At 46.0% G+C, this 22,311-nt stretch overlaps 1 protein-coding gene and 1 pseudogene across 11 annotated transcripts in view, besides 1 other annotated feature; both read right to left on the minus strand.

Annotated features, from left to right (window-relative positions):
• VPS53 (VPS53 subunit of GARP complex) overlaps window positions 1-22,311 on the minus strand; it is a 206,172-nt gene that overhangs the window by 129,140 nt on the left and 54,721 nt on the right. For 9 of the 11 annotated variants that reach the window (XM_047436345.1, XM_047436344.1, NM_001128159.3 and 6 more), the window contains 2 exons: window positions 18,031-18,146; window positions 15,484-15,603 (listed from right to left, as the gene is read on the minus strand). In XM_047436345.1, coding sequence (XP_047292301.1) covers window positions 15,484-15,603; window positions 18,031-18,146 — 236 coding nt within the window. Of the gene's footprint in view, window positions 1-15,300; window positions 15,402-15,422; window positions 15,462-15,483; window positions 15,604-18,030; window positions 18,147-22,311 lie in introns of those variants that run through there. The other 2 variants (XM_047436347.1, XM_047436348.1) reach the window with 2 other exon arrangements.
• Window positions 18,925-19,789, minus strand: RPS4XP17 (ribosomal protein S4X pseudogene 17; annotated as a pseudogene).
• Window positions 19,379-20,578: an enhancer, noted in NCBI's record as "BRD4-independent group 4 enhancer chr17:560426-561625 (GRCh37/hg19 assembly coordinates)". NCBI's record gives its function as "activates an origin of replication core promoter dependent on BRD2, P300/CBP, MED14 and CDK7 cofactors, and independent of BRD4, by STARR-seq in HCT116 cells {active_cell/tissue: HCT116}" and the evidence as "EXISTENCE:reporter gene assay evidence [ECO:0000049][PMID:35650434]".

A 22,311-nucleotide genomic window follows, 5' to 3' on the forward strand; every position in this document is an offset into this window, starting at 1 on the left:
ACATTTGCTGAGGAATGCTTTACTTCCAACTATGTGATCAATTTTGGAATAAGTGCGATGTGGTGCTGAGAAGAATGTATATTCTGTTGATTTGGGGTGGAGAGTTCTGTAGATGTCTATTAGGTCCGTTTGGTGCACAGCTAGTTCAATTCCTGGATATTCTTGTTAACTTTCTGTCTCATTGATCTGTCTAATGTTGACAGTGGGGTGTTAAAGTCTCCCATTACTATTGTGTGGGAGTCTAAGTCTCTTTGTAGTTTCTAAGGACTTGCTTTATGAATCTGCGTACTCCTGTATTGGGTGCATATATATTTAGGATAGTTAGCTCTTCTTGTTGAATTGATCCCTTTACCATTAAGTAATGGCCTTCTTTGTCTCTTTTGATCTTTGTTGGTTTAAAGTCTCTTTTATGAGAGACTAGGATTGCAACCCCTGCCTTTTTTTGTTTTCCATTTGCTTGGTAGATCTTCCTCCATCCCTTTATTTTGAGCCTATGTGTGTCTTTGCACATGAGATGGGTCTCCTGAATACAGCACACCGATGGGTCTTGACTCTTGAGCCAATTTGCCAGTCTGTGTCTTTTAATTGGAGCATTTAGCCCATATACATTTAAGGTTAATATTGTTATGTGTGAATTTGATCCTGTCATTATAATGTTAGCTGGTTATTTTGCTCGTTAATTGATGCAGTTTCTTCCTAGCATGGATGGTCTTTACAATTTGGCATGTTTTTGCAGTGGCTAGTACCGGTTGTTCCTTTCCATGTTTAGTGCTTCCTTCAGGAGCTCTTGTAGGGCAGGCCTGGTGGTGAAAAAATCTCTCAGCATTTGCTTGTCTGTAAAGGATTTTATTTCTCCTTCACTTATGAAGCTTAGTTTGGCTGGATATGAAATTCTGGGTTGAAAATTCTTTTCTTCAAGAATGTTGAATATTGGCCCCCACTCTCTTCTGGCTTATAGAGTTTCTGCCGAAAGATCCGCTGTTAGTCTGATGGGCTTCCCTTTGTGGGTAACCTGACCTTTCTCTCTGACTGCCTTTAACATTTTTTTCCTTCATTTCAACTTTGGTGAGTCTGACAGTTATGTGTCTTGGAATTGCTCTTCTCGAGGAATATCTTTGTGGTGTTCTCTGTATTTCCTGAATTTGAATGTTGGCCTGCCTTGCTAGGTTGGGGAAGTTCTCCTGAATAATATCCTGCAGAGTGTTTTCCAACTTGGTTCCATTCTCCCCATCACTTTCAGGTACACCAATAAGACGTAGATTTGGTCTTTTCACATAGTCCCGTATTTCTTGGAGGCTTTGTTCATTTCTTTTTACTCTTTATTCTCTAAACTTCTCTTCTTGCTTCATTTCATTCATTCGATCTTCAATCACTGATACCCTTTCTTCCAGTTGATCGAATTGGCTACTGAAGCTTGTGCGCTCGTCAGGTAGTTCTTGTGCCATGGTTTTCAGCTCCATTAGGTCATTTAAGGACTTCTCTAGACTGGTTATTCTAGTTAGCCATTCGTCTAATCTTTTTTCAAGGTTTTTAGCTTCTTTGTGATGGGTTCAAACTTCCTCCTTTAGCTCAGAGAAGTTTGATCGTCTGAAGCCTTCTTCTCTCAACTCGTCAAAGTCATTCTCCGTCCAGCTTTGTTCCATTGCTGGCGAGGTGCTTTGTTCCTTTGGAGGGGGAGAGGTGCTCTGATTTTTAGAATTTTCAGCTTTTCTGCTGTTTTTTCCCCATCTTTGGGGTTTTATCTACCTTTGGTTTTTGATGATGGTGACGTACAGATGGGGTTTTGGTGTGGATGTCCTTTCTGTTTGTTAGTTTTCCTTCTAACAGTCAGGACCCTCAGCTGCAGGTCTGTTGGAGTTTGCTGGAGGTCCACTCCAGATGCTGTTTGCCTGGGTATCAGCAGCGGAGGCTGCAGAATAGCAAATACTGCTGAACAGCCAATGTTGCTGCCTGACTTCGTCTCAGAGGGGTACGTGGCTGTGTGAGGTGTCAGTCTGCCCCTACTGGAGGGTGCCTCCCAGTTAGGCTACTCGGGGGTCAGGGACCCACTTGAGGAGGCAGTCTGTCCATTCTTAGATCTCAAATTCTGTGCTGGGAGAACCACTACTCTCTTCAAAGCTGTCAGACAGGGACATTTAAGTCTGCAGATGTTTCTGCTGCCTTTTGTTTGGCTATGCCCTGCCCCCAGAGGTGGAGTCTACAGAGGCAGGCAGGCCTCCTTGAGCTGTGCTGGGCTCCATCCAGTTCCAGCTTCCTGGCCACTTTGTTTACCTGCTCAAGCCTCAGCAATGGCGGGCGCCCCTCTCCCAGCCTTGCTGCCGCCTTGCAGTTTGATCTCAGACTGCTGTGCTAGCAATGAGCGAGTCTCCGTGGGTGTGGGACCCGCCGAGCCAGGCACCAGATATAATCTCCTGGTGTGCCATTTGCTAAGACTGTTGGAAAAGTGCAGTATTAGGGTGGGAGTGACCCAATTTTCCAGGTGCCGTCTGTCACACCTTTGCTTGTCTATGAAAGGGAATTCCCTGACCCCTTGCGCTTCCCGGGTGACGCGATGCCCTGCCCTGCTTCAGCTCATGTTTGGTGGGCTGCACCCACTGTCCTGCACCCACTGTCCGACAAGCCCCAATGAGATGAACCTGGTAACTCAGTTGGAAATGCAGAAATCACCCGTCTTCTGCGTCGTTCAAGCTGGGAGCTGTAGACTAGAGCTGTTCCTATTCAGCCATCTTAGAACTGCCTATGTCGCCATGTTCTTCATTTTCAAAGTCACCTCTTGAGATAGGCTGGACCTGGTTATGTTACTAGTGAGCCGCATAATCACAAGTCACTTCCTCTCTGTGGGTCACAACTTTGAATAGCTGTGAAATAAGAGGGTGGGGCTAGCAGCCCATACTAGATGATTCTGTGTCCTCTCCAGTACTGATTATTCCACAACACCCATCTTACGGTGCTAACTGGCTTTACAGGTGGCTAGAGGTTAGATGTATGCTTAATCCTGGAGCAGAAGGATACGCATATAAATGTCAATGTTTCCAACAGCAGTTTTTTTCTTTGTTTTTTTTTTGAGACGAAGTCTCACTCTTGTCTCCCAGGCTGGAGTGCAATGGGATAATCTCGGCTCACTGCAACCTCCGCCTCCTGGGTTGAAGGGATTCTCCTGCCTCAGCTTCCCAAGTAGCTGGGATTACAGGCGCCTGCCACCACGCCTGGCTAATTTTTTGTATTTTTAGTAGAGACAGGGTTTCACCATGTTGGCCAGGCTGGTCTCCAACTCCTGATCTCAGGTGATCCACCCACCTCGGCCTCCCAAAGTGCTGGGATTACAGGCGTGAGTCACTGCGCCCAGCCTCTACCAATAGCAGTTTGTGAAGTGGCTATCAATGACTCAGATGAAAGCAACTATTCCCTTACAGACATCACTGATGGTATCTATAGACCCAAACCTCAATCCCATGCATTTTCAGGGTAAGATGTGAATTTCAGTCTTTATAAGCAATTGCTTAAATAGGATTCTAGAAAGAAGTCAACAGACTTGAAAGAATTTATCTTTGGCCTCATTCCTTTAAACTCCTTCCTCTTCTAACCATGAAAAGGTTCCCACTACAAAGAGGTAGCTCAACTGATAACTGTCAGCAAAGCACATATATGTGCCAAACTACCAAGATTTCCTAGTCATTCCTTTCTTTTCAGACTGGAGTACAGTGGTGCATTTGTGGCTCACTGCAGCCTCAACCTCCCAGGGTTAAGTGATCCTCCCTTCTCTCAGCCTCCTGAGTAGCTGGGACTATAGGTGTGCACCTCCATGCCCAGCTAATTCTTGTATTTTTTGTAGAGATGGAGTTTTGCCATGTTGCCCAGGCTGATCTCAAACTCCTGGGCTCAAGCGATCTGCCCACTTCAGCCTCCCAAAGTGCTAGGATTACAGGCATGAGCCACTGTGCCCAACTGATTTCCTAGCCATTCTTGTGAAAGTCCGCCTACAACTCATAGAGAACAGGGAAAACAAAAATTCCTCCTGGCATCCACGTAAGTTCAGCCTGTTGCATGGTGGCAACCCCAAATGGGTCACTCTTCAGAAACAAAAGATTCATTGTGCTGCCCAGAAAGGAAAGTCAACCAGGTGGTTTCTGGCATCCTCCATGCCACGTGACTGCAGGGCTGTTCCAAGGCACCCTTTCCTAAAAGTGTTCTCAGCTTTTCGTAAGGGGGAGTCACAGACAGACAGCAAATTATGAACATTGTTCAGATATCTGTGGATAAAGTAGCCCTGAGACTTTTGTTACCTTGTGAGTGACAGTCCCAAAGAAAACACCCCCAACAGTTCCCAAATAAATATACCGCCCTCCCAAACCACAGTCTTCTAAACAGCAGGGTTAATTAGTCAAATGCTACAGTTCCAAACAGACACCATAAAGAATCTCAGCCTAGAATCTTGAGTGACCCCATGAGACACTTCTGAGATCACCAAGGACAACACTCATACTTGGCAACCGAGGACAACACTCATACTTGGAAAGCGAGGACAACACTCATACTTGGAAAGCGAGGACAACACTCATACTTGGAAAGCGAGGAAAACACTCATACTCGGAAACCGAGGACAACACTCATACTTGGAAAGCGAGGACAACACTCATACTTGGCAACTGAGGACAACACTCATACTTGGAAACCGAGGACAACACTCATACTTGGAAAGCGAGGACAACACTCATACTTGGAAAGCGAGGACAACACTCATACTTGGAAATCAAGGACAACACTCATACTTGGCAACTGAGGACAACACTCATACTTGGCAACTGGGGACAACACTCATACTTGGAAAGCGAGGACAACACTCATACTTGGAAAGCGAGGACAACACTCATACTTGGCAACCGAGGACAACACTCATACTTGGCAACCGAGGACAACACTCATACTTGGAAAGCGAGGACAACACTCATACTTGGAAAGCGAGGACAACACTCATACTTGGAAATCAAGGACAACACTCATACTTGGAAAGCGAGGACAACACTCATACTTGGAAAGCGAGGACAACACTCATACTTGGAAATCGAGGACAACACTCATACTTGGAAATCGAGGACAACACTCATACTTGGCAACCGAGGACAACACTCATACTTGGCAACCGAGGACAACTCTCATACTTGGAAAGCGAGGACAACACTCATACTTGGAAAGCGAGGACAACACTCATACTTGGAAAGCGAGGACAACACTCATACTTGGAAATCAAGGACAACACTCATACTTGGCAACTGAGGACAACACTCATACTTGGAAACCGAGGACAACACTCACACTTGGAAAGCGAGGACAACACTCATACTTGGAAAGCGAGGACAACACTCATACTTGGAAAGCGAGGACAACACTCATACTTGGCAACTGAGGACAACACTCATACTTGGAAACCGAGGACAACACTCATACTTGGAAAGTGAGGACAACACTCATACTTGGAAAGTGAGGACAACACTCATACTGGGAAACCGAGGACAACACTCATACTTGGCAACTGAGGACAACACTCATACTTGGAAACCGAGGACAACACTCATACTTGGCAACTGAGGACAATACTCATACTTGGAAAGCGAGGACAACACTCATACTTGGAAAGCGAGGACAACACTCATACTTGGAAATCAAGGACAACACTCATACTTGGAAATCAAGGACAACACTCATACTTGGCAACTGAGGACAACACTCATACTTGGAAACCGAGGACAACACTCATACTTGGAAACCGAGGACAACACTCATACTTGGCAACCGAGGACAACACTCATACTTGGAAACCGAGGACAACACTCATACTTGGAAAGCGAGGACAACACTCATACTTGGAAAGCGAGGACAACACTCATACTTGGAAAGTGAGGACAACACTCATACTTGGAAAGTGAGGACAACACTCATACTTGGAAAGCGAGGACAACACTCATACTTGGAAATCAAGGACAACACTCATACTTGGCAACTGAGGACAACACTCATACTTGGAAACCGAGGACAACACTCATACGTGTCAACCCAGGAGGCCCAGGAGGAACTTGTCGAGGCCATAGAGCTGTGCAGGCCTGTCCATTTCCAGGTTGAGTTCTTTTTTCACTCCATCATGAGACCTGCCAAGCCTTTCTCACATTTATAAGAGGTTAGAAATGGCTGTGAAAAATATATTTTCGTTCAAGAGTTTCATGGTTTTCAAGAGAATGTAAGGCTCTTCCATTCTTCATTGGGAGATACTGACTGATGACTAGAAACATTCCCTTTCACGGATATGCTTAGGCCAGGAGGATTTGAAATGTAAAGATGCTAAAGAAAAAACTCTTTCCTCCAATGCTACATTAAGCATGGAAGCATTTGCCAGAAGGGTAGTTGGAAGAATTAGCTATGCTCAAATCAAGGCTCATGAACTTCCTATTTCAAATGTACAGGCAAAGATTTCAGAACACAACTTTTCACATGACTTCTACACTTTACAGACAGCAAGACAGTAAATTTGAGAAACGGAAGCAATGCAGAGGGTGGTAACCCGCCTGCCATCTCCCGCCCCTTACAACAAATAGCTATTTCTCTCATTTCCAGATGGTTCTACCATCAGCACGTAAACATAAGGGAAGCAAATTCACCAGAAAGGATGCTAAAAATAAGAAGTCTGGACTTTTCTCAAACGTTTAGTACCTCTTAAAAAAACAATCCTAGTCAAGCACTGAAAATAAAAATAAGAAGTTGTCTCCTCTTGTGCTCTTTTTAGTGTTATTTTTTTTTTTCCCCCGAGACGGGTCTGCTTTCTTGCCCAGGCTGGAGTGCAGTGGCACAGTCTCGGCTCACTGCAGCCTCCACTTCCGGAGCTCAAGTGATCCTCCCATTTCAGCCTCCCAAGTAACTGGAACCACAGGCACACATCACCACACCAGCTCACTTTTTGTATTTTTGGTAGAGACAGGGTTTCACCATGTTGTCCAGGCTGGTCTTGAACTCCAGAGCTCAAGCGATCTGCCTGTCTCAGCCTACCAAAGTGCTGGGACTCCAGGTGTGAGCCACCATGCCCAGCCTTTTTAGTGTTACTTAATAGCACATATTCTGTATTAACCTACACAAAATTATTGCAAATAGAGATTGCGAAATGAACTAAAAGATAAGTAAATCCTCCTGTGTTTGCAGCAACCTTATGTGATAATGAATGTTTGGAGCACTGAAATATATTCATAGAATGTTGGACTTTCTATTTTTCAGGAATGTGATTATAACAGTGATTATTAAGTTCCTTCAAATTTTTAAAACTACCTCTTTAAACAAATGTTGAAAAGCAAAGAGCCCACCAAAAGTACAGGCAGCAAAAGCAAAAAGAAACAAGTGGGACTACATCAACCTAAAAAGCCTGTTGGAGAAATGCAGGTGGAAACCACAATGCAGTGTCACTTCACGTCCTAACGGGGGCATCTTTTCATGTTTATTGGCCATTTATTTATCTTCTTTGGAGAAATGCTTATTCAAATCCTTTGCTGGTTTTTTAATTGAGTTGTTTGGCTTTTTGTTGTTGATTTCTGGGAATTCTTTATATATTCTAGATATTAATCCATTATCAGATAAATGATTTGGAAATATTCTTCCCATTCTGTGCATTGCCATTTTACCCTGCTGATAGTGTTTTTTCATGCACAAGTTTTAAAATTTTTCATAAAGTCCCATTTATCTATGTTTTCCTTTTGTTGCCTAGGACTTTGGTGTCATATCCAAGAAACTGCTGCCAAATACAGTGGTGTGAAGATCTGGTCTTCGTTTTCTTCTAAGAGTTTTAGAATTAGGTTTTACATCTAGGTTACAGATCCATTTTGAGTTATTAACGAATCCCTATGCTGGTTTCTGCCAAATAAAAGTTAGTTCTGTCATGTTCCTGCCATGCACAACCCCTTCCTTTATACCGACTGGAGATAGGCTCCCACACACATCTCCGTGACCGTGTGGCCACTGCCTCCTAAGGGTCTTATCTTTTCTAATCCATATCACGGACTGGAGACTGGCTCTTACACACATCTCCGTGACCGCGTGGTCTCTGCCTGATAAGGGTCTTATCTTTTCTAATTCATACCACGGACTGGAGACTGGCTCCCACACACATCTCCGTGACCGTGTGGCCACTGCCTCCTAAGGGTCTTATCTTTTCTAATCCATATCACGGACTGGAGACTGGCTCCCACACACATCTCGGTGACCGCGTGGCCTCTGCCTGATAAGGGTCTTATCTTTTCTAATTCATACCACGGACTGGAGACTGGCTCTTACACACATCTCGGTGACCGCGTGGCCTCTGCCTGATAAGGGTCTTATCTTTTCTAATTCATACCACGGACTGGAGACTGGCTCCCACACACATCTCCGTGACCGTGTGGCCTCTGCCTGATAAGGGTCTTATCTTTTCTAATCCATACCACGGACTGGAGATCGGCTCCCACACACATCTCCATGACCGCGTGGCCTCTGCCTGATAAGGGTCTTATTTTTTCTAATCCATACTACGGACTGGAGATCGGCTCCCACACACATCTCCGTGACCGTGTGGCCACTGCCTCCTAAGGGTCTTATCTTTTCTAATCCATACCACTGACTGGAGATTGGCTCCCACACACATCTCCGTGACCGCGTGGCCACTGCCTCCTAAGGGTCTTATCTTTTCTAATCCGTATCACGGACTGGAGACTGGCTCCCACACACATCTCCGTGACCGCATGGCCACTGCCTCCTAAGGGTCTTATCTTTTCTAATCCACACCACTGACTGGAGATCGGCTCCCACACACATCTCCGTGACCGCGTGGCCACTGCCTCCTAAGGGTCTTATCTTTTCTAATCCATATCACGGACTGGAGACTGGCTCCCACACACATCTCCGTGACCGCGTGGCCACTGCCTCCTAAGGGTCTTATCTTTTCTAATCCACACCACTGACTGGAGATCGGCTCCCACACACATCTCCGTGACCGCGTGGCCACTGCCTCCTAAGGGTCTTATCTTTTCTAATCCATATCACGGACTGGAGATCGGCTCCCACACACATCTCCGTGACCGCGTGGCCACTGCCTCCTAAGGGTCTTATTTTATCCAGACTCCTGTACCTCTATAATCCACTAGACTTTTACAAAATACAAGTGAGATCATGCCCCCCGCACTTAAAATCTTTCACTGTCCACAAAATAAAAAATAAATTATTTAGCAAGGCATATAAAACCTGACCCGATCTACCTATGCAGCCCTGTCTCCCTCTGCTGCCTCCAAACTCCATGAGACTCCCTCTTCCTTCTTTCCCCCATTACTGTCACGTTGGTAAGATCCCACCCATTCTTTTAAGATTCAGATTAAAACAGAATTTGTCTATGACCCCTGCCCTCAGCCCCTGCTTCAGCCTATCAATTCCTCTTCTGAGATCCTGCTATGCCTTGTACAGCATATACCAGTTTTGTTACATCTGTTATACTGGAATCTTCTATTAATGTCTTTCTTCTCCATACAAAAATGGTGAACTCTTTGAAGGCAGAGAGTGTGTATTTCTTATCTTTGTGCCTTCAGTCCCCAGCACGGGGCCTAGGATGTAGAAAATGCAGAGTAAATATCTATCATGCAAATGAAGAAAAGAACAAATGAATATGAAAGAGATCAACTCTGAATCATCCTGAGAGCAGGGGTAGAAGGGACTGCCTTCCTCCTCCCCCATCCGCTGACAGCAAATCTGCCTGCTCCATCCAGGCTCCTTCTTTCTTGCAGCTCATAAAGTCCTGTTCGCCTGCTTTCTTGGCTGCCTCACAGTCCAGTCTGATAAGGTGATCAGCTGGCTCTAGGTGTGAGGGGTAGGAAGGATGAGGGAAAGGGTGGCGATTTCCCTAGCGTTCTGCCAAGCTCGGCAAGATGCACACTGAGCACACGTTGCAACCTCCCATTCCTGCCCCGGAGCGTCAGAAATAATAAAAAGATTTTCATGAAAATCCAAATCCAGACAAGAAAAGTGGTATACTAGAAGCCTGAGGACTTCCTGGTAGGAAGGATGACAGAAAATCACTGCCCAAAAATGCTTCTCGAAAATGAAAGACATGAAGGTGGCGATACCAGGAGCAGGATGGGGCCGCTGTCCGTGTCTGCACCCACACCGTGAATGCGTGAATGCTCACGTCAGGCGGCAGGGGTGGGCCTCTGGGTCTGAGAACTTCAGCAGTAGCCAGAGGGGCGGCCAACACCCAAGAAGACCAGGGAGCCTCCAAGCCTAGGAGATCAGCTGCTGGGACACCCACCTGGCAGGTTTCTCCAGGTCTGGCCCCCCTCACTTTGGAAAAGCTGTCTGTGATACACTTAGCCAAGTAGCAATTCCCATTTCTCGCCCACGAGCAGGTAGCAGTAAAAGAGCATTCTTGATCAGACTAATAGAGAATGTCAAAAATAAAAATAAGGCCGGGCACGGTGGCTCACACCTGTCATCCCAGCACTTTGGGAGACTGAGACAGGTGGATCACTTGAGGTGTCAAGAGTTCGAGACCAGCCTGGCCAACATGGTGAAACCCTGTCTCTACTAAAAATACAAAACTTAGCTGGGCATGGGTGGTGGGCGCCTGTAGTCCCAGCTACTTGGGAGGCTGAGGCAGGAGAATTGCTTAAACCCAGGAGGCGGCGATTGCAGTGAGCTGAGATTGTGCCACTGCACTCCAGCCTGGGCGATGGAGTGAGACTTGGTCTCAAAAAATAAACAAATAAAATAAAAATGAGGTTTCAGCTAAGAATCACTAAACATTTGAGAAATGCTAAAGAGAAAGAATTGCCATGCTGAACAAACTGAAGATCTTACACTGGAGGACAGAGGAATGGAACAGGCACTGAAGATCTTACACTGGAGGACAGAGGAATGGAACAGGCACTGAAGATCTTACACTATAGGACAGAGGAATGGAACAGGCACTGAAGATCTTACACTGGAGGACAGAGGAATGGAACAGGTAATGAAGATCTTACACTGGAGGACAGAGGAATGGTACAGGCACTGAAGATCTTACACTGGAGGACAGAGGAATGGAACAGGCACTAAGATCTTACACTATAGGACAGAGGAATGGAACAGGCACTGAAGATCTTACACTGGAGGACAGAGGAATGGAACAGGCAATGAAGATCTTACACTAGAGGACAGAGGAATGAACAGGCAATGAAAATCTTACACTGGAGGACAGAGGAATGGAACAGGCACTGAAGATCTTACACTGGAGGACAGAGGAATGGAACAGGCACTGAAGATCTTACACTGGAGGACAGAGGAATGGAACAGGCACTGAAGATCTTACACTGGAGGACAGAGGAATGGAACAGGCACCGAAGATCTTACACTGGAGGACAGAGGAATGGAACAGGCACCGAAGATCTTACACTAGAGGACAGAGGAATGGAACAGGCACCGAAGATCTTACACTGGAGGACAGAGGAATGGAACAGGCACCGAAGATCTTACACTGGAGGACAGAGGAATGGAACAGGCACCGAAGATCTTACACTGGAGGACAGAGGAATGGAACAGGCACCGAAGATCTTACACTGGAGGACAGAGGAATGGAACAGGCAATGAAGATCTTACACTGGAGGACAGAGGAATGGAACAGGCACTGAAGATCTTACACTGGAGGACAGAGGAATGGAACAGGCACTGAAGATCTTACACTGGAGGACAGAGGAATGGAACAGGCACTGAAGATCTTACACTGGAGGACAGAGGAATGGAACAGGCACTGAAGATCTTACAGTGGAGGACAGAGGAATGGAACAGGCACTGAAGAGCTTACACTTGAGGACAGAGAAATGGAACAGGCACTGAAGATCTTACACTGGAGGACAGAGGAATGGAACACGCACTGAAGATCTTACACTGGAGGACAGAGGAATGGAACAGGCACTGAAGATTGTACACTGTAGGACAGAGAAATGGAACAGGCAACCCAGTGCTTTAACAAACACATAATTTCTATTCCGTGGGAGAGACATGAGAATATTATGCCCATGAGAAAAGAATCAGCTAGATATGCTGGAAATTAAAAAGCTGGATTTTTAAAATAAAAATTCAACAGCTGGGCCAAATAGCACAATGGATGCAAGTGAAGAATAAATTAAAATAGGAAGACTGGGTTGAGGAATTCTTTCAGAAAGCAGTTCAAAAGGACAAAGAGACAGAAAGCATGAAAGGAAAATTAAGAGACATGGCAGCAGATCTAGAAGATCCAACGTTCACGTAACAAGAATTCCACAAGGAAAGAATGCAGAGACCAAGTTGTAGAGACTACTCAAAGAAAGGAATAAAGGAGAATAATTTCTTAGAGTATGAGAAACTCATGAGTGTTTAGAGGAAGAAGACAACTGGGGCTAGGTACAGTGGCTCACGCTTGTAATCCCAGCACTTTGGGAGGATGAGGCAGGAGGATCACTTGAGCCCAGGAGTTGAAGACCAACCTGGGCAACATAAGAAGATCCCACCTCTACAGAAAAATGTTAAAAATCAGCCAGGCATGGTGGTATTTGCCTGTATTCCTGGCTACTCAGGAGGTGGAGGCAGGAGGATGGTTTGAGCCCAGGAGTTCCAGGTTGCAGTGAGCTATGACCACGCCACTGCACTCCAGCCTGGGCAACACAGCAAGACTCCGTCTCAAAAAAACAAAACAAAACACTAATCTTACTAGCTACAAGGAAAATGAAAATTAAAGGAACCGGATACCGTTTTCAACCATAAGATAGATAAAAATGAAAAACAACAATATCAAGTGTTGCTGAGGGTAAGGGTGCTCTCATACAGTACAGATCGTACTACAAGTATATAAAGCTTTGCTGGAGGGCAAATGGGCAGTAGCTACTAAAATTTTAAATGTATACAAACCTATAACCCAGAATCTGTCCCAGAGAAATACTTGCATATGTGCAAAAGGGGGCATATTTTAAGAATTAGAAACAACGACCTAGTGCTACCAAAATGGTGAAATAATCTGTGGTATGTCACGCTATGGGGTTCTGTGCATCAATTCCAGAGAATGAAGCAGGTTTATACATACTGATGAGAAAAAAAATATCTAAAATACATGTGGTTGAAAACAAAAAGCAGTTTTTAGAATAAAGCGTAAGGCATGAAACCATTTAGTTAAAACAAAACAAAGCAAAAACAAAGCCATTAACTGAAACTATAGATTTATATAAATACACACACAAATCCGGAGAGATAGGATTAAAACTATAGATTTATGTAAATACACACACAAATCCAGAGCGATAGCCACTGAAACTACAGATTTATGTAAATACACACACACAAATCCGGAGCGATAGCCATTAAACTACAGATTTACGTAAATACACACACACAAATCCGCAGTGATAGCCATTAAACTGATAACAATTACCACCTCTGAGGACAACAATGGGATTCTGAAGTCTAGGTAAAGGGAACTTAGGTTTCACCTGTATACATATTTGACCTTTTTAAACAATAGAAGATGTGGAACCAGGTGCAGTGGCTCACGCCTGTAACCCCGATGCACTGGGAGCCCAAGACCAGCCCTGGGCCACAGAGTGAGACCCTGTCTCTACAAAAAAGTAACAAAGTTAGTTGGGTGAGGTGCTGCGTGCTTGTAGTCCCAGCTGCTTGGGAAACTGTGGTGGGAGGATCACTTGAGCCCAGGAGTTCCAAGCTGCAGTGAGCAGTAATTCTGCCACTACACTCCATCCTGGGTGACAGAGTGAGACCCTGTCTCTATTTTTTAAAGTCTATGTGTATTACTTATATAATTACAAATAAGGAAACTTAAGGAAAACAAAGAAGCCTGTAGCATTCGGGCCTTATTAAGAAGGCAGAGTCAGAAACGTAGCTGCTGCTCAGTAACAACGCCTTCATTTCTTCTTTGCTGCAAGGAAGGTTAGAATTTGTCAATTGTGACGGTCTCTGCCTTCTCAGTGTTCTTCCTGCCCCTCCTTCTAACAGAAAAGGTGGTGCATCAACTCCTCCTCGTCCTCCCTTGGAATCCTCATCCTCCTTCGCTCTGAGAAATTACTTTCCTTTCCACTGGATCTGAATCTGGGATTAAAACTCAACAGCAATAAGAAGGAAAGAATAAGGTTGGGGGGAAAGTCATCTTTTTATCGTATCTAAAGTTTTTGTGGTTCACTGTATTTTTTTTTTTTTTTGAGTCTCACCCTGTCGCCCAGGCTAGAGTACAATGGCAGGATCTCAGCTCACTGCAACCTCCACTTCCCAGGTTCAAGTGACTCCTGCCTCAGCTTCCCGAGTAGCTGGGATTACAGGCACCTGCCACCATGTCCAGATAATTTTTGTATTTTTAGTAGAGACGGGGTTTCGCCATGTTGGCCAGGCTGGCCTCGAACTCCTGACCTCGGGTGATCCACCCGCCTCGGCCTCCCAAAGTGCTGGGATTACAGGTGTGAGCCACCATACCCGGCCGTGGCTCACTGTATTTTCTAAAGACCGCCACAGCAATCTATCCCATCCCACATGCTTTTTGTAACAATGTGACTTTGACATTCCTCCCGTTAGTGGGTGGGAGAAGACTATGTTCCTTCCTCTTGAATCTTAGCAGCCTTGTGACTATGGCAGAAGTGATGCTATGAAATTTCCAAGGCTTGGTTCTCTTGGGACGCTCATTCTTGGAACCAGCCACCTTACCGTGAGGAAGTCCAAGCAGCCCGTGGAAGACAACAAAGAATCCCAGCAACGGCCTGGCCAAGCTCCCAGCTGACAGCAAGCACCAAGGAGCCAGCCATGAGAGTGAGCCAATGCATTCTCCAGTCCCCTCCTGAGCTGCCTCGGCTAATGCTGCACGGAGCAGGGATGAGCTGGTCCCCGAGCCAGGCCAAATTATACGTGCAAAACAATTATTGTTTTAAGCTACTAAGTTTTGTGCTGGTTTGTTACAAAGAAATAGATACCTAGAACAGTTTCTCTCACAAATGGGGACAACTGAGAGTTGTCCATATATACAACTGTAACTATCTACCACAGGCAGCTTTGGAAGACATGGGAAGGGGTAAAGTGGGGGAACGTCTGCACCAGACAGTTAGATCAGGTAGCATCTGATATTCCTTCACACACTAAGACTCTGCAGTGAACACGCTGAGCTAAGTGCTTAAGCACTTCCTAGCACCAGGTCCTTTTCTGAAAGCAAGATCACTTCTTCCGGTGACAGTTTACCTTTTGGAAAGTTTAGCTGCCGGATCTGCGGAATCCCCATATACTTTCCCTCCAGTGACAGTTTACCTTTCGGAAAGCTGCCGGATCTGTGGAATCCCCATATACTTTCCCTCCGGTGACAGTTTACCTTTTGGAAAGCTGCCGGATCTGCGGAATCCCCATATACTTTCCCTCTGGTGACAGTTTACCTTTCGGAAAGCTGCCGGATCTGCGGAATCCCCATATACTTTCCCTCTGGTGACAGTTTACCTTTCGGAAAGCTGCCGGATCTGCGGAATCCCCATATACTTGTGGAAGTGCTCCAGGACATTCATCACACCCTGAAGGAGATTAGCAACTTCTCCGTATTGTCTTCGCCTGGTCATGGCTCTGCAAGGAAAGAATAAGTTTAAAAGTCTAGAAAAACACTAAAGACGCAAGATACAGACACAGAACAACCCACGCTAGCTCTCAAACAGATATCAACTCAGCTGAATCAACGTTCGCTGAGCACTGAGTATATAAGCTGCTGTGCGTTGTGGGAGGAAAAAACAGGATCTGGTCCAAATCCTCAAGGTGACACCATATAGTAAGGGAGAGAGTCAAGTACACATCTAACTAGTATCAAAAAGGATGAACTATGTTCTAAACAGAAGTACAAATTATGTGCTACGGCAGGAAGAATGTGTGAGTGATGAATTCTCATTTGGTGTGGGGAGGGGAATCTGGGAAGACGATGAATTTAGAATTTGGGTTGGATATTATGGGATTAGCAAGCTTGGGACAGAGAACCGGGGTAGGGATGTTACTATCTGAGGATTACAGCCTATGAGCAAACCAAACACAAAGGGTGCGGCCAGGCGCGGTGGCTCAGCCTGTCATCCCCGCGCTGTGGGAGGCCGAGGTGGCTCACGCCTGTCATACCCACACTGTGGGAGGCCGAGGCGGGCAGATCACGAAGTCACGAGATCGAGATCATCCTGGCCAACACGGTGAAACACCGTCTCTACTAAAAATACACAAAATTAGCTGGGCGTGGTGGTGGATGCCTGTAATCCCAGCTACTCGGGAGGCTGAGGCAAGAGACTCACTTGAACCTGGGAGGCGGAGGTTTCAGTGACCCGAGATCGTGCCACTGCACTCCAGCCAGGGTGACAGTGGGAGACTCCGTCTCAAAAACAAAAACAAAAATACACAAAGAGCAGCACTTTACCTATTAACTGAAATCTGTAGGTTCTAAGGCGTCTGTATCACAGACCTCTACTTTCCCTACTGCTAAGGTTAATGACGCTTAAATAAAAGGATGCTGATAAAATCAAGTTACACACAGGGAGGAAATATAAACTATTAGATCTAAATTTTTCATTAGGGTTGGGTTATTTCATTAAATTTGTAATTTATGATTTTCCATAAGAAGCATTGAAAAAGACAGGATTGGCCGGGCGCGGTGGCTCAAGCCTGTAATCCCAGCACTTTGGGAGGCCGAGGCGGGCAGATCACAAGGTCAGGAGATCGAGACCATCCTGGCTAACACGGCGAAACCCCGTCTCTACTAAAAATACAAAAATTAACCGGGCTTAGTGGCGGGCGCCTGTAGTCCCAGCTACTCGGGAGGCTGAGGCAGGAGAATGGCGGGAACCCGGGAGGCGGAGCTTGCAGTGAGCCTAGATCGCGCCACTGCACTCCAGCCTGGGCGACAGAGCCAGACTCCAACTCAAAAAAAAAAAAAAAAAAGAAAAAAGAAAAAGACAGGATCAAGTTCAAGCCAAGGTGTTCCGTTGCTACCACCACCTGGTTTTACCACCGCCTGGTCTTACCACCGCCCAGTCTTACCACTGCCTGGTCTGATGGTTTGGTGGACACCGACCACCCCACGAAGGAACAAATGTGACCGCCCTCTGGCCTCCCTCTGGCCGCTGCTCTCACTGCTCACAGGAGAGTGGACCAGGCATCCCTGGAGCTCATCCAATACCTAGAGAGGTCAGGAAGGGGCCCGCCCCTCCTCCTCTTTCCCTCAAGGCACTCTCCCACTTCCCCCACCCAGGACTTTGAATGCTGCATCTCAGTTTCTATGACGATGCGCTTTCCCTGTCCACATACGGAATCACACTGAGGCTGGAGCAGGGGGAGTCCCCAGCCTGAGACGGGCCACAGAGGTGAGCTGGAGTGTCAGAATCTTGCTAGTAAAGGAGGCTTTAGATTGCTCCTTTGTAGTAAATCACCAGCTCTTCCTTCTCTATTTCTAATGTTCTGATGTATCATTCCCTCTACAAGCCAAACGGAAATCTACTTTATAAAAAAAAGTGGTTTGAATGATTGAGTTCTGTCTCATAGGGTCTCTTCCATGACAGTGCAACTCAGCCCAACGCAAGCAGGAAACCTGCTGAGGCAGAAGCAGCAGGGAGTGAATATGGGCCTGTGTCACTCTGTCTGCCTGGAGTGAATATGGGCCCGCGTCACTCTGTCTGCCTGGAGTGCATATGGGCCTGTGTCACTCTGTCTGCCTGGAGTGAATATGGCCCTGTGTCACTCTGTCTGCCTTGATGGTACAGAGCCACAGCCTGAAGATGGGCCATATTCTTGGAGTCGTCCTGAAAGGCTTCTGGGGTCCCCTTTTGACTAGCTGCCAGTGTTTGTTAGGTTCTGAACACCAGAGGGCACAAAGCAAAAATGGTGACTGAACACTTGAAGCCAATTTGCAGAAAGTGGGGCAGGATGGTGAGACTTTCCTGGCTGAGAAGTAAATAGGCGACAACACCATTTTCTCTATGCGATACATTTCCCGTGGCCCCAAAAGAGAAAGTTGGCATTGCTTACTCGAGGGAGTCGACACCTCCTGCCAGCATGTGCAGGTGGTTCAGTGTGGTGATTGAGGTGGTCAGGTGGCGTTTGGCGTGATCTAATTGCTTAATATCACGGGTGATTTCTTTCACCTAAACATTGAAAAACCACAAGAAAGAAAGGAAGACGGTCAAGAAAGATGTAAAACACTTCTGCAAGTAGCTCTGTAAGAAACGAATGCAGATGAAGCAGGGAAAAATCTCAGGTTAGCAAACATTCTCACAATACAAAATAAAAATAATTTCCAACCAGGCATTTAAAATTTAATGTGGCATCTCTTTGGACTTTACTCAGGGTTATAAAACCTTCAGTTGTGAGCATGAAATGAACTTTATTTTTTTACCCCAAATGAAATGATCCAAACAGCAATTCAGTATTGAGCACACAGGACAGAGGAGGTAAGCACAGCACCTTTCCTTGAACAAGGTGAGGAAAGTGTGCCTTCTGGTGATGAAGCCGCTGGGCCATATAAAACACCTATCAGTCAGTACTAGGTACTCAGACGGTCTTTACTAATGGAATGAGGGCCTGAGCTTCCAGCAAAGAAGACTTTCAAATCTCAAGAAGATTGAAATATAAGCTCTGTAACATACGCTTAACATGTAAGTTACTAGGAGGGCAGGAGCAGTCTTCAGGGAGTGAGAAGGCAATTTGGGGAGTAAGAGCCTGACAGTGTTGTTTCAGCAGGTCCAAGAGAAGAGAAGCTGTCTCTGGGAATGCAAGTATATTTCAGTCACCAGAAAAGCATATTCAATAGAGAAGTTGGAAAAATTCCCCAACTTTACTAACACCCAGGTGAAATCATCCACTGTGTTTCTTGGTCCATGCTGACTAAGAAATGTGTGTGTGTGTGTGTGTGTGTGTGTGTGTTTTATCATGCCACATTATTTTTAATTACGTACAAAGATCTAACATGTCACCCACGGACCATTTCACCCGCTGCTCTGTTTGGCCGCCAGTCTCTTGTCTCTCTCTTCAGCAATGGTGAGGCGGATACCCTTTCCTCGGGGAAGAGAAATCCATCGTTTGTTGCCCTTGCCAATAGTGAAAATGTTGGAAACTTGAGTGCCAAAGCTGTTGCCACTGGTGTCTTTCACATGAACCACGTCAGAAGATCCCGGGTACCTCTCTCTGTTGGGGATCACACCAACTCTTCCCAGGTGAGCACCTCCAGTCACCATATATGGCTTGCCAGTGTCGAACGTGATGAAATCGGTCATCTTGCCAGTCTCCAAATCAATCTGAATGGTGTCATTCACCTTGATGAGGGGTCAGGGTAGCGGATGGTGCGAGCATCATGAGTCACCAGATGAGGGATTCCTTTTGTGCCCACAAAGATTTTTCTCACTTTGCACAACTTGTACTTGGTCTCCTCAGGTGTACAGCAAAGCAACCTTTGGTGTCACGGATCAGATGGAAATTCTCTCCTGTCTTGTCAATGCTGATGACATCCATGAACCCAGCAGGGTATGTTATATCAGTTCGGACCGTGCCATCGATCTTAATGAACCGCTGCATGCAAATCTTCTTAAGTCTGTTCCTTAGGAAAATGATGAGGGGAAGACACTCTCTCAACTTGTGGGGACTGGTGGACGGACGAGGAGCAAACACACCGGTCAATTTATCCAGCATCCAATGCTTTGGAGCTGCTACCCGCTTCAGATGCTTCTTGGCACCACGAGCCATGGCTGCATTAGGCAAGGAAAAGAGGACCTTTGTCTTCCGGTGCACATAGCGAAAGTTTCTTAATAGCAATTTGGTTGCCCAGGTTCTGTGATACCTGGAAGGAAGGGAGTGCCCTGGATACCAAACACAAATACTGTAGTCACTGGATAGATACATCCCATTAAAGTGAGTAACTTGGCCATGAGTTCATGGATAGATACGTCCTCATTAAAGTGAGAAACTTGGCCGTGAGTTTGTGGATAGATACATCCTCATTAAAGTGAGAAACTCGGCCGTTGAGGTCGTGGATAGATATATCCTCATTAAAGTGAGAAACTCGGCAGGGAGTTCGTGGATAGATACATCCCACTAAAGTGAGAAACTCGGCCGTGAGTTCTTGGATAGATACATCGCACTAAAGTGAGAAACTCGGCAGGGAGTTCGTGGATAGATACATCCCACTAAAGTGAGATACTCGGCCGTGAGTTCGTGGATAGATACATCCCACTAAAGTGAGAAACTCGGCAGGGAGTTCGTGGATAGATACATCCCACTAAAGTGAGATACTCGGCCGTGAGTTCGTGGATAGATACATCCCACTAAAGTGAGAAACTCGGCAGGGAGTTCGTGGATAGTTACATCCCACTAAAGTGAGAAACTCAGCAGGGAGTTCGTGGATAGATACATCCCATTGAAGTGAGACACTCGGCCGTGAGTTCGTGGATAGATAACATCCCACTAAAGTGAGAAACTCGGCCGTGAGTTCGTGGATAGATACATCCCACTGAAGTGAGACACTCGGCCGTGAGTTCGTGGATAGATACATCCCACTGAAGTGAGAAACTCGGCCGTGAGTTCGTGGATAGATACATCCCACTGAAGTGAGAAACTCGGCCGTGAGTTCGTGGATAGATACATCCCACTGAAGTGAGAAACTTGGCCGTGAGTTCGTGGATAGATACATCCCACTGAAGTGAGAAACTCGGCAGGGAGTTCGTGGATAGATACATCCCACCAAAGTGAGAAACTTGGCCGTGAGTTCTTGGATAGATACATCGCACTAAAGTGAGAAACTCGGCAGGGAGTTCGTGGGTAGATACATCCCACTAAAGTGAGATACTCGGCCGTGAGTTCGTGGATAGATACATCCCACTGAAGTGAGACACTCGGCCGTGAGTTCGTGGATAGATACATCCCACTGAAGTGAGACACTCGGCCGTGAGTTCGTGGATAGATACATCCCACTGAAGTGAGAAACTCGGCCGTGAGTTCGTGGATAGATACATCCCACTGAAGTGAGACACTCGGCCGTGAGTTCGTGTGCCCTGCTCTTTCAGGGTCTGATCACCCTAGGTGAACTCATACAGGTTACGACCTGCACAGCTCAATTCCACACCTATGATCCTGCAAGCCTTACCTGGATCTTAGCTATAAAAAGCCTCTTTCATGGGGACTTCCCCATCAAGCCTTCTCTCCTGTAACCTCCAAACAATCTCTGTTTCCAATGAATTAAAAAAAAAAAAAAAGGTTAAGACCACCACCACTTTACCAAATACTTAAATTTGGGGCAAAAAAAATAAAAATAAATAAATCAGGAGTGGTATAATAAATTAGATATAGAAGGCTGAAGATTGGCCCTGTAACCTGATCACCCACTTGCAACTCTGAAATCAGCATCCTTTTTCCTACAAAAAAATCTCTGTATCTCTTCCAGCGTTTTTAGCTTCAGTCTAACATAGGGAGTCTTTATTTATTTATTTATTTTTTTATTTTTTGAGATAGAGTTTCGCTCTGTCGCCCAGGCTGTACTGCAGTAGTGCGATCTTGGTTCACTGCAGCCTCCACTTCCCAGGCAAGCGATTCTCTGCCTCAGCCTCCAGAGTAGCTGGGATTACAGGTGTGCTCCACGACGCCTGGTTAATTTTTGTATTTTTAGTAGAGACACGGTTTTGCCATGTTGGCCAGGCTGGTCTTGAACTCCTGGCCTCAAGTGATCCCCCCTCCTTGGCCTCCCAAACTGCTGGGATTACAGGCATGAGCCACCGTGCCCGGCTGCATCAGGGGTCTTTAACCACTGTGTTCAAAGTCACATCATCTATGACTCTTCCTGGTCCCTGCATCAAGTCCTAAATATTCTCCCTCTGCTTCATCTCAAGACTCTATCCCTTCTCTCTATGTCCTAAATATTCTCCCTCTGCTTCATCTCAAGACTCTATCCCTTCTCTCTATGTCCTAAATATTCTCCCTCTGCTTCATCTCAAGACTCTATCCCTTCTCTCTACTCCTTGTTCAGGCCCTCACTGCTCTGCACTGGAGCTGACTGGTCTCTTTATTCCCAGGATCTCCCGTCACTCCCCATCCCACAGCCTGTGTTTCTCTAGACAAACTGAACCACTGATTTTTCCCTAAACAAAGCCATCAATGGCAGGGCACACCAGGGGTACTCAGGTCAAACCTACACGAGATCATCTGCGAGACAGAAGGCCCATGGTTGATTCGCCTCAACTGACTTACACGAGACCACCTGTGAGACAGAATGCCCATAGTTGATTTGCCTCAACTGTTGCCCACGGGCTGCGAAAACGGGTAGAG

Source organism: Homo sapiens, chromosome 17 (genome assembly GCF_000001405.40).
Source record: "Homo sapiens chromosome 17, GRCh38.p14 Primary Assembly".
Classification (NCBI taxonomy): domain Eukaryota; kingdom Metazoa; phylum Chordata; class Mammalia; order Primates; family Hominidae; genus Homo; species Homo sapiens.